At 43.2% G+C, this 12,127-nt stretch overlaps 1 protein-coding gene across 4 annotated transcripts in view, besides 3 other annotated features; it reads right to left on the bottom strand.

Moving 5' to 3' along the window:
• RBFOX1 (RNA binding fox-1 homolog 1) overlaps positions 1 to 12,127 on the bottom strand; it is a 2,473,620-nt gene that overhangs the window by 1,953,692 nt on the left and 507,801 nt on the right. The window lies entirely within an intron of this gene.
• Positions 4,192 to 5,178: an enhancer, noted in NCBI's record as "OCT4-NANOG-H3K27ac hESC enhancer chr16:5804472-5805458 (GRCh37/hg19 assembly coordinates)". NCBI's record gives its function as "activates a minimal SCP1, AML or CMV promoter by ChIP-STARR-seq in naive H9 embryonic stem cells {active_cell/tissue: H9 hESC(naive)}" and the evidence as "EXISTENCE:reporter gene assay evidence [ECO:0000049][PMID:30033119]".
• Positions 8,440 to 8,939: an enhancer, noted in NCBI's record as "H3K4me1 hESC enhancer chr16:5800711-5801210 (GRCh37/hg19 assembly coordinates)". NCBI's record gives its function as "activates a minimal SCP1, AML or CMV promoter by ChIP-STARR-seq in naive H9 embryonic stem cells {active_cell/tissue: H9 hESC(naive)}" and the evidence as "EXISTENCE:reporter gene assay evidence [ECO:0000049][PMID:30033119]".
• Positions 8,940 to 9,441: an enhancer, noted in NCBI's record as "H3K4me1 hESC enhancer chr16:5800209-5800710 (GRCh37/hg19 assembly coordinates)". NCBI's record gives its function as "activates a minimal SCP1, AML or CMV promoter by ChIP-STARR-seq in naive H9 embryonic stem cells {active_cell/tissue: H9 hESC(naive)}" and the evidence as "EXISTENCE:reporter gene assay evidence [ECO:0000049][PMID:30033119]".

The raw sequence follows: 12,127 nt of genomic DNA, 5'->3' as shown, positions 1-12,127 counted from the left end.
AGAGCTTTGCTTCTACCCAAATGGAGATCTAGCACATGCCTGGCACTGGCGGCAAAAGGAACCTCATGTTCTGTGCCATTAAATACAGAAATAGAAAGAGCTACAGAAATTAAGAAAACTCTGAATTTGCATGGGCTGAAGGTGAGCCTGAGAGGTGTATGCATTTGAATGCCCTGATACAGCTGCGTGGCATTTCTGTCAATGTGTCAACACATGATGTGAGGAGGCAAATGAGAGGTCAGGAATTGTACAAGGTGGTGAGAGACGTGGAGGAGGATCCACCAAGGAAATACAAGCATCAGAACAGAGATACATCTCTCTAAGAAGTTCACCAATTCCCACTATGGGCAAACAGCATGTGTACCCAGAGATGGCTTCCTGTTTCCACTGGTTCTTCTGTAAGCTGAACACAGACCTCAGGCTATGATGCAGATTCAGACATTCTAAACTGAACCTTGCCTTCGTGGATAGGAAGTTAGGCTAATGAACCCCTACTGATACTGCCAAAAATAAACATCAAAAGGAAAGTGAAGAAAGGAAGCATGTTCTTCAGAGAAGTATATACTAGTAGCCTCCCCATTTTATGGAAGTAGAAATGGAGGTTCAAATGGAGGTTTCATGAATTTGCTCAAAGTCGTGAAACTCACCATGGTTTAACTGCAAATGGTGTCTTCCCAATGTATCACACTGCCCCTCTCACAACCCACTAACTATTTCCTTTCGCATATACACAAGAGGTAAGTGGAGTCAAGTTCATGTTGCATGGAGGGTCAGCCACGCTTTTGCCACAGTGGGACATTAACAAACCTTTTTCCTGTCTAGGGGAGCATACATTCCCTAGATGTGCATTCATAACCTTTCTCCCACCCTATCCAAAAAGTGAAGGTCTTGGATTAGATTAGGATGTCAAATTTACCATTCCACGTCTTCCCTGACATCCAACAGCTTGTACTTACAACACATCATTTCTTTATTAGTGATCACCAGAACTGTGCTCATAGAAGCTTTCCTATTCTGAGGTCTTAATTTTGTACCTTTCCAGTTTCCATGGAGACACTACATTCTTGCATTCTAAGAGTGTCACTGTAAAACAATGTGAAAACAAAGCAACTTCACAGAAATGGCTCACTTTGGACACCACCAAGCAATGCTCTCATCCAACAGACAGGGCCACTGTGCTGCGCTTTGGGGTTAATTGCTGAGGCCAACCTCTCTTCTTTCTCCCCCAGTCTAAGAGATGCTTTTCATGCCCAACCTAGGGACCAAGCTCGCAGTTACAAGAGCATCTCCAGGTCTCCGTGCTCCAATTATGGCACTACTGTTATAATAGAGCCGAGAGGTAACTATGGCAACATTATTTCAAGGATAAATACCACAATACCGCCTTCAACTTTTTCCCCCCATGAAGAAAGTGAAGAATCGAGAACATGTAGGATTAATAGCATCATTTGTTAAAAAGCCAATGGATGGCAGAGTTCAGAAGAAACGCTAATTAGTGGAGTCTTTCCTGGCTCAATTTAACATTTGCTCTGTGCCCCCACACATATGGGTGGTCAGCCTCAGAATTCTGTATCACCCAACTTGGGTCCCGTCAGGCTTCCAACCCCAGGTTGCTGCAAGTTCCAGAGATGTTTTTCTGGGAAGCTCAGTGCCACAGGCAGAGGTGATGGCTGACCAGTACAGAACTTCACAGTGAGTCAGGGTCAGCTACAGTGGTGATGACCAGCGAGAGTAGTGAAGGGGAAAGATTTATTGTCAGAGCTTCTCATTGCTTGAGACCCAAGAGAAGTAGTCTAGCACAGTAGTAGAAGCATGAGCCCAGAAATCAGACAGATGACAAGCTGAAGAATCTGCTCCTCCACTTACTAGCAAGTCTACTTAACCTTTTCAAGCCTCACTTTCCACATCTGTGAAGTGGGGATGAGGACCAACTTCATAGCACTGTTGTAAGAATTAAATAAAATCACAAGCATGTGGCAATCTGTCCAACAAAACTCATTTCCTCCTGGGTCACGTCTACACCACATTTCCTGGTCTCTCTGTGGCTGAGTTATAACCAACACCCTATCAGTTGAAATGATGTGTTCTTCTAGGCTGGCCTATTAAAAGCTTCCCACCCGGCTGGGTGTGGTGACTCATGCCTGTAATCCCAGCACTTTTGGAGGCTGAGGAGGGCAGATCACAAGGTCAAGAGATCGAGACCATCCCGGCCAAAATGGTGAAACCCCGTCTCTACTAAAAATACAAAAATTAGCTGGGTGTGGTGGCATGGGCATGTAGCCCCAGCTACTCGGGAGGCTGAGGCAGGAGAATCACTTGAACCCAGGAGGCAAGCGTTGCAGTGAACCAAGATTGCACCACTGCACTCCAGCCTGGCAACAGAGTGACACTCCATCTCCAAAAAAAAAAAAAAAAAACACAAAAACCAAAACAAAAAAAACCTTCCCCGCCACGCTCTTCATGCTCTTTCTCCCTCTGCTGGCTGAATATCGACCAAGGGCAAGCTTGGCAGCTATGCAGTAATGATGGCAGAGTCTCAGTCAACTTGGTTCTTAATTTTAGGTCTCAATGAATCTGAAGAATGCAATACAGAACTCCCCCATCCTTTGCCAACCAGAAACATCTGAATTAAATCATTAGTAAATTTCTATTGTGTTAAGAATAACATTAAATCATTGGTAAATTTCTATTGTGTTAAGATAATACAGTTAAGGGCTTTATCCTTTACATCATCTTGTAGAACCCTTATATTTTTTATACAAATGTAACGTGCTTAGCCCAGTTTCTGCATGCAATAAACACTCAGTACCTGTTAGCTGTATTATTGAGAAGTCCACCTTTCCCACGAAGCTGGCCAATTTGCCAAGATCCCTGGCAAGTAACATCTCCATTGATTTCATGGGGTCTCTTTGGCTCAAAGAATTAGGTATAAGCCTTTCTGCTGTGATAAGTAATGAAGTACAAATTGAGGAAATTAGTTATCAATTAGTCATTCGATGGCTGGAAAGGCAGGCAGCAGGCATAAATGGTGCCAGATTAGTTAAGCCACGATAAATTTTATTGCTCCAGAAGGAATGGGTCTTTATTCATTACTCCTCAAATTTATCTTTATTATTGGCCCCTGGATGTGAGACAAGGCCTGGATGGAGAAGGAGGTAAGAAACCAGCCTGGGCATTTGGGAGATGTGACAAACTCCACCGCAAAGGTGATCCCTGAAGAAACCAGGTCTAAGCAAGAAGAAAAACGGTATCCATCTTTTCTCACTGCCATGTCTGTAGCTTTTCCAGTTTTGCTAGGTTAAGTCCTACAGTTTGCTTGCCCTTTTCCTATTAATTATCACACCACACTACAACCCCACGGCATTTCATATGTCCATACACTGCAGGAGGTGGTGCAGGGTTTTTTTTTTTTTTTTTTTTTTTTTGCTTATGTGGAAGATGTAAGAAGGGGGTTCACAGAAATCAAATAATACCCACTAAAGGGGAAGGCATGGAACCTTCTGGTTTGTAAGTCCCTGAGGCACCACCTGTAGCTTTGTATCTCTCCTAGTGCCTGACTTAGAAGGCACTGGGAGAGACAGGAGAATCACCTGCTTAAGAATTTCTCATGGCTTTCCACTGCAGCAAATATGAAATCCAAACTTTCACCATGACCTCTGAGGTCTTTTCAAACTGTGATGTCTGCCTGCTCCTTTACTTCATCTCCTACTTCCCTCTCTTCATTATGCCCTCAGCTCCAAAAGGAATTAGAGGCCGGGTGCAAGAGCTCACGCCTGTAATTCCAGCACTTTGGGAGGCCGAGGCAGGCGGATCACCTGAGGTCAGGAGTTCGAGACCAGCCTGACCAACATGGTGAAACCCCATGTCTACTAAATACAAAAAATTAGCTGCGCATGGAGATGCATGCCTGTAATCCCAGCTACTTCGGAGGCCGAGTCAGGAGAATCGCTTGAACCTGGTAGGCGGAGGCTGCAGTGAGCCAAAATTGCACCTTTGTACTCTAGCCTAGGCAACAAGAGTGAAACACTGTCTCAAGAAAAAATAAACAAACAAACAAAAGTAATTAGATGGAAGTTGATCAAATAGATGCCCATGGGGAAGTGGTCGTCTTTTGTGACCAACCAAGGCCCTTTAAGTCACAGCTTAGGGCTACTGCTTTGGTCTACCTAACACTCAACAGCCACATGCCATCAATTGATTCAGGAAGATCAGTGTGAACCAATAAAATGGGGATCCTTCCTGGTCTCCCAGTCTTGGCCTCACCCAATCTGTCCCTCACTCAGTTGCCAGAATTGTGGGGAAAAGCAAGAGAGATCAGATTGTTACTGTGTCTGTGTAGAAAGAAGTAGACATAGGAGACTCCATTTTGTTATGTACTAAGAAAAATTCTTCTGCCTTGAGATTCTGTTAATCTATAACCTTACCCCCAACCCCGTGCTCTCTGAAACGTGTGCTGTGTCAACTCAGAGTTGAATGGATTAAGGGCGGTGCAGGATGTGCTTTGTTAAACAGATGCTTGAAGGCAGCATGCTCCTTAAGAGTCATCACCACTCCCTAATCTCAAGTACCCAGGGACACAAAAACTGCGGAAGGCCGCAGGGACCTCTGCCTAGGAAAGCCAGGTATTGTCCAAGGTTTCTCCCCATGTGATAGTCTGAAATATGGCCTCGTGGGAAGGGAAAGACCTGACCGTCCCCCAGCCCGACACCCGTAAAGGGTCTGTGCTGAGGAGGATTAGTAAAAGAGGAAGGAATGCCTCTTGCAGTTGAGACAAGAGGAAGGCATCTGTCTCCTGCCTGTCCCTGGGCAATGGAATGTCTCGGTATAAAACCCGATTGTATGCTCCATCTACTGAGATAGGGAAAAACCGCCTTAGGGCTGGAGGTGGGACCTGCGGGCAGCAATACTGCTTTGTAAAGCATTGAGATGTTTATGTGTATGCATATCTAAAAGCACAGCACTTAATCCTTTACATTGTCTATGATGCCAAGACCTTTGTTCACGTGTTTGTCTGCTGACCCTCTCCCCACAATTGTCTTGTGACCCTGACACATCCCCCTCTTCGAGAAACACCCACAGATGATCAATAAATACTAAGGGAACTCAGAGGCTGGCGGGATCCTCCATATGCTGAACGCTGGTTCCCCGGGTCCCCTTATTTCTTTCTCTATACTTTGTCTCTGTGTCTTTTTCTTTTCCAAATCTCTCGTCCCACCTTACGAGAAACACCCACAGGTGTGTAGGGGCAACCCACCCCCACATCAATCATCAATTAAAACACTCCCTTCCTTCCTAACAATAGGAGCGAACATGAACATTGCACCAACTAAACACAAGGTATAATCCTAAACATGTTACATAGATTAACACAATTAATCCTCCCAAGACGCTTACAGGGAAGGTACCATTATTACCTTCATTTGAGGCATAGAGAAGTTAAGTAGCTTGCATGTGGCAGAGGTGGGATTCAAAACTATTCCGGCTTTTAACAAATGTATTATGCCAACTCCAGGAAAATACTTGCATGGCTAAAATTACCCTCAAAAGCCCCTAATATTCCCACAAAGTGTCATGCAGGTAGTTTTGCATTATCAACACATGCATACTAACATACACATTGACATTTGAGAATGGCTGAGTTAGATTAGAAAAATGAATAAAAAGAAAGGCTACGTGGAGAGGCTAGATAATTACCAAATACCTAGAGAGGAGTGGGGGATGGACACAGAATCCTGTATTGTCCCTGCTTTTCTGTAGGGTTTAGATCATTGATTTTTGTGTTTTTTTTTTTCAATGAAAACTCTATATCCTCAACACAGCTCTCTACTTATTTGTAGATCTGAGGATGAAATGAGATGGAATGTGCTAAGAGGGGAGGCTCCTATACAAGGGAGAGCAGTGCTGTGCTGGTAAACGCTTAACAACCAACTTTCTGGGGACAGAAAAACACTGGTTTATAGGGTTTTCCAGTTTCTGTGGTATAAATACTCCCTCTATGGCCAATTTCTAGCTGCCAATATGACATCAACCAGCTGGTAGGTTTCCTTAAAATTTCACAATCGGCTCTCGCCAGCCAATACAAGCTGGCTGCAGCACACCACTGGAGGAGAGGTCCTATAGACAGCTCTTAGAAACAGAAGCAACTCCGTTGCCGCATATTTAGAGGGATTCCTCTGTCTACCATATGGAAACGGAGTTGTAACTCTTTTTCAAGTGAAAAACGCAGCCAAAATTCTACACAAGTATATTCTAAATTTTTTTGAGTATAAGCAGTAAAATAATAACCACTAATCAGGGCACATAGTGTAAAATTCATAGACAATTTATACCTATGAGGATTTTTTTAAGTGTTCTATGTAATGGCACTAAAATCTTTATTTCTAGAGTTTTAATGAGTGCATTATGAGGACTTAGCTACATCAAAAAGGACCATTATTGAAGTTTAGTGCCCACTCATACACACACAAGCATTTTCACTTTTTTTTTTTTAAGACAAGGTTTTGTTCTGCTGCCCATGCTGGAGTGCAGTGGTGTGATCACAGCTCACTGCAGTCTCAACCTCCTAGGTTAAAGCAATCCTCCCACCTCAGCCTCCCAAGCAGCTGGGACTACAAGTGTAGCCACACATCTGGCTAATTTTTAAAATACGGTTTATTTCTTGGAGTGATGAGGTCTCACTATGTTCAAGAGCAGGCTGGTCTTGAACTCCTAGGCTCAAGCGATCCTCTTGCCTCAGCCTCCCAAAGTGCTGGGCACTCTTTTTTTGTACAATGTTCTGGGTGAATTTTCTTTCTCTCTGAATTTATTTCTTTTGATCTAGTTTGAAACTCAACATATGCCTCAAAGTTGCAGAAATTCAAAGTAGAGGAGTGAGTATGAAGTCCTATCTCCAGGCTTGGCAAAATTACTCAGCCATTTCATGAAATCCCAACTGCTTATACGCCCTCACCTCCTAAGAGGGTTCTCTTATTATGGGTCATTCAAAGAGTTACCATCCTTTTCTGAAACCTTTGTAAAATGACTGTTTATCTTCAATTTGGGGTGCCATTCTCTCTGAAGGGAGAAAATAAGATCCTATGGCCCATGAAGCAATTTATTTTCTGGAAAGCACAGTATCACAGTAAACAGCGTGAAACAGCTAGGTGGGTGGCAAAAACAAGGGGGAGCCCTTTTAATAGTTGATTGTTTCAATAGTGAATGTTTGGAGCAAAATGTCTCATTTAAGTTAAAGGATACATGTGCAGGTTTGTTATATTGGTAAGCTTGTGTCATGGGGGTTTCCTGTACAGACTATTTCATCACCCAGGTATGAAGCCTAGTATCTATTAGTTGTTTTTCCTGATCCTCTCTCTCCTCCCACCCTCCAATCCGTGACCTCTAAAAGGTCCCAGTGTGTATTTCTCCCCTCTATGTGTCCCTGTGTTCTCATCATTCAGCTACCACTTCTAAGTAAGAACATGCAGTATGTGGTTTTCTGTTCCTACACCAGTTTGCTGAGGACAATAGCCTCCAGTGCCATTCATTTTCCTGCAAAGGACATGATCTCGTTCTTTTTTTTATGGCTGGATAGTATTGCATGGTATATGCATACATTTTCTCTATCCAATCTGCCATTATGGGAATTTAGATTTACTCCATGTCTTTGCTATTGTGAATAGTGTACAATGAACATACACATGCATGTATCTTTATAATAGAACGATTTATATTCCTTTGGGTATATACCCAGGAATGGGATTGCTGGGTCAAATGGTATTTCTGTTTTTAGGTCTTTGGGGAACTGCCACACTGTCTTCCACAATGGTTGAACTAATTTACTTTCCCACCAATAAGGAATAAAAAACCATTAAAATGGGTTTAATATAGTTGAGGTTTGGAGTAAACACTAAACCATCTCAATTTGGAGTCAGTTCTCTTACTTAATTGCAATAGTGGATATTCTACAGCTAACAGTATTTTTCCATTCTCCTGGACCACTACCACTTCCAAATGCTCCTCACCTTTAGAGTAGTCCTGAGACTGATGCGGTTCTGCTCTCCAGTATCTGTGTGACTTTAGGTGGCTTCCTTGCCCTCTCTGATTCCTAGAGTTCATCCTCCAGATTCACCTTCATCCAGCAGCCACATCATCTAACTATTTGAGACCAAAAACAATTATGTGCAAATCTATCTGATTTTAAGCAGAAGTCTACAGTGGATGTATTAACTTCTCTATTGGGTGGAGACGGTATCCGCCCACTTGCTTCACAGAGATGTCAAGAGACGTAATCAGTATGAAAGCTCCCCGAGAGAAAAAGAAAGATAAGGGATGCACAAATGTAGGGCACTACAAATGTTAATTACTCATGAGTGAAATGCATAATGCCCAGAATCAGTGAAGTTTAGAGCTGAGAAGAAACTTCATAATCACCTAGTCTAATCCATCATCTCTCCACCAGAGCCTAAAATTACAGCCTTCGGGGAGAGCTCCTCAAACTGTCTGGATTGAACAGAAAGCAGAATTTCTTGGCAAGGCACGATGGCTCATGCCTGTAATCCCAGCACTTTAGGAGGCCGAGGTGGGCAGATCTCTTCAGGTCAGAAGTTTGAGACCAGCCCAGTCAACATGGTGAAACCCACCTCTCTACTAAAAATACAAAAATTGGTGGGTTCCAAGATTGCCGAATAGGAACAGCTCCAGTCTACAGCTCCCAGCGTGAGCAACGCAGAAGACAGGTAATTTCTGAATTTCCCAGTACCGGGTTCATCTCACTGGGGCTTGTCAGACAGTGGGGACAGGACAGTGGATGCAGCCCACCATGCGTGAGCCGAAGCAGGGCGAGGCATCGACTAACCTGGGAAGTGCAAGGTGTCAGGGAATTCCCTTTCCTAGCCAAGGGAAGCTGTGGCAGACGGCACCTGGAAAATTGGGTCACTCCCACCCTAATACTGCACTTTTCCAACAGTCAGCAAACGGCACACCAGGAGGTTACATCCCATGCCTGGCTCAGAGGGTCCCACGCCCACAAAGCCTCACTCATTGCTAGCACAGCCGTCTGAGATCGAACTGCAAGACGGCAGCGAGGCTGGGGGAGGGGCGCCTGCCATTGCTGAGGCTTGAGTAGGTAAACAAAGCAGATGGGAAGCTCCAACTGTGTGGAGCCCACCACAGCTCAAGGAGGCCTGCCTGCCTCTGTAGACTCCACCTCTGGGGGCACGGCATAGCCAAACAAAAGGTAGCAGAAACCTCTGCAGACTTAAATGTCCCTGTCTGACAGCTTTGAAGAGAGTACTAGTTCTCCCAGCATGGAGTTTGACATCTGAGAATGGACAGTCTGCCTCCTCAAGTACGTTCCTGACCCCCGAGTAGCCTAACTGGGAGGCACCCCCACAGTAGGGGCAGACTGACATCTCATGCAGTCGGGTGCCCCTCTGAGACGAAGCTTCCAAAGGAATGATCGGGCAGCAACATTTGCTGTTCAGAAATATTCGCTGTTCTGCAGCCTCTGCTGCTGATACCCAGGCAAACAGGGTCTGGAATGGACCTCCAGCAAACTCCAACAGACCTGCAGCTGAGGGTCTTGACTGTTAGAAGGAAAACTAACAAACAGAAAGGACATCCACACCAAAACCGCATCTGTACATCACCATCATAAAAGACCAAAGGTACATAAAACCACAAAGATGGGGAAAAAACAGAGCAGAAAAGCTGAAAATTCTAAAAATCAGAGTACCTCTCCCCCTCTAAAGGAACGCAGCTCCTCACCAGCAATGGAAAAAAGCTAGACGGAGAATGACTTCGACGAGTTGAGAGAAGAAGGCTTCAGACGATCAAACTTCTCTGAACTAACGGAGGAAGTTCGAACCCATCGCAAAGAAGCTAAAAACCTTGAAAAAAGATTAGATAAATGCCTAACTAGAATAACCAGTGTAGAGAAGTCCTTAAATGACCTGATGGAACTGAAAACCATGGCACAAGAACTACGTGACGAATGCATAAGCTTCAGCAGCCGATTCGATCAACTGGAAGAAAGGGTATCAGTGATTGAAGATCAAATGAATGAAATGAAGCGAGAAGAGAAGTTTAGAGAAAAAAGAGTAAAAAGAAACGAACAAAGCCTCCAAGAAATATGGGACTATGTGAAAAGACCAAATCTACATCTGATTGGTGTACCTGAAAGTGACAGGGAGAATGGCACCAAGTTGGAAAACACTCTGCAGGATATTATCCAGGAGAACTTCCCCAACCTAGCATGGCAGGCCAACATTCAAATTCAGGAAATACAGAGAATGCCACAAAGATACTCCTCGAGAAGAGCAACTCCAAGACAAATAAATTGTCAGATTCACCGAAGTTGAAATGAAGGAAAAAATGTTAAGGGCAGCCAGAGAGAAAGGTCGGGTTACACACAAAGGGAAGCCTATTAGACTAACAGCAGATCTCTCGGCAGAAACTCTACAAACCAAAAGGGGGTGGGGGCAATATTCAACATTCTTAAAGAATTTTCAACCCAGAACTTCATATCCAGCAAAACTAAGCTTCATAAGTGAAAGAGAAATAAAATCCTTTACAGACAAGCAAATCCTGAGAGATTTTGTCACCACCAGGCCTGCCCTAAAAGAGCTCCTGAAGGAAGCACTCAACATGGAAAAGAACAACCGATACCAGCCACTGCAAAAACATGCCAAATTGTAAAGACCATCAAGGCTAAGAAGAAACTGCATCAATTAACGAGCAAAATAACCAGCTAACATCATAATGACAGGAACAAATTCACACATAACAATATTAACCTTAAATGTCAATGGGCTAAATGCTCCAATTAAAAGACACAGACTGGCAAATTGGATAAAGAGTCAAGACCCATCAGTGTGCTGTATTCAGGAAACCCATCTCATGTGCAGAGACACACATAGGCTCAAAATAAAGGGATGGAGGAAGATCTACCAAGCAAATGGAAAACAAAAAAGGCAGGGGTTGCGGTCCTAGTCTCGGATAAAACAGACTTTAAACCAACAAAGATCAAAAGAGACAAAGAAGGCCATTATATAATGGTAAAGGGATCAATTCAACAAGAAGAGCTAACTATCCTAAATATATATGCACCCAATACAGCACCCACATTCATAAAGAAAGTCCTTAGAGACCTACAAAGAGACTTAGACTCCCACACAATAATAATGGGAGACTTTAACACCCCACTGTCAACATTAGACAGATCCACGAGACGAAAGTTAACAAGGATATCCAGGAATTGAACTCAGCTCTGCACCAAGCAGACCTAATAGACATCTACAGAACTCTCCACCCCAAATCAACAGAATATACATTCTTCTCAGCATCACATCACACTTATTCCAAAATTGACCACATAGTTGGAAGTAAAGCACTCCTCAGCAAATGTAAAAGAACAGAAATTATAACAAACTGTCTCTCAGACCACAGTGCAATCAAACTAGAACTCAGGATTAAGAAACTCACTCAAAACCACTCAACTACATCGAAACTGAACAACCTGCTCCTGAAAGACTACTGGGTACATAACGAAATGAAGGCAGAAATAAAGATGTTCTTTGAAACCAATGAGAACAAAGACACAACATACCAGAATATCTGGGACACATTTAAAGCAGTGTGTAGAGGGAAATTTATAGCACTAAATGCCCACAACAGAAAGCAGGAAAGATCTAAAATTGACACCCTAACATCACAATTAAAAGAACTAAAGAAGCAAGAGCAAACACATTCAAAAGCTAGCAGAAGGCAAGAAATAACTAAGATCAGAGCAGAACTGAAGGAAACAGAGACACAAAAAACCCTTCAAAAAATCAAGGAATCCAGGAGCTGGTTTTCTGAAAGATCAACAAAATTGATAGACCACTAGCAAGACTAATAAAGAAGTAAAGAGGGAAGAATCAAATAGACACAATAAATAATGATAAAGCGGATATCACCACGAATCCCACAGAAATACTACCATCAAAGAATAGTATAAACACCTCTACGCAAAAAAACTAGAAAATCTAGAAGAAATGGAAAATTCCTCAACACATACACCCTCCCAAGACTAAACCAGGTATAAGTTGAATCCCTGAACAGACGAATCACAGGCTCTCAAATTGGGGCAATAATAGCCTACCAACCAAAA

This window comes from Homo sapiens, chromosome 16, assembly GCF_000001405.40.
Source record: "Homo sapiens chromosome 16, GRCh38.p14 Primary Assembly".
NCBI classification, from domain to species: domain Eukaryota; kingdom Metazoa; phylum Chordata; class Mammalia; order Primates; family Hominidae; genus Homo; species Homo sapiens.
The sequence above is the reverse complement of the archived record's forward strand: the minus strand, read 5'-3'. Positions and strand labels throughout refer to the sequence as shown.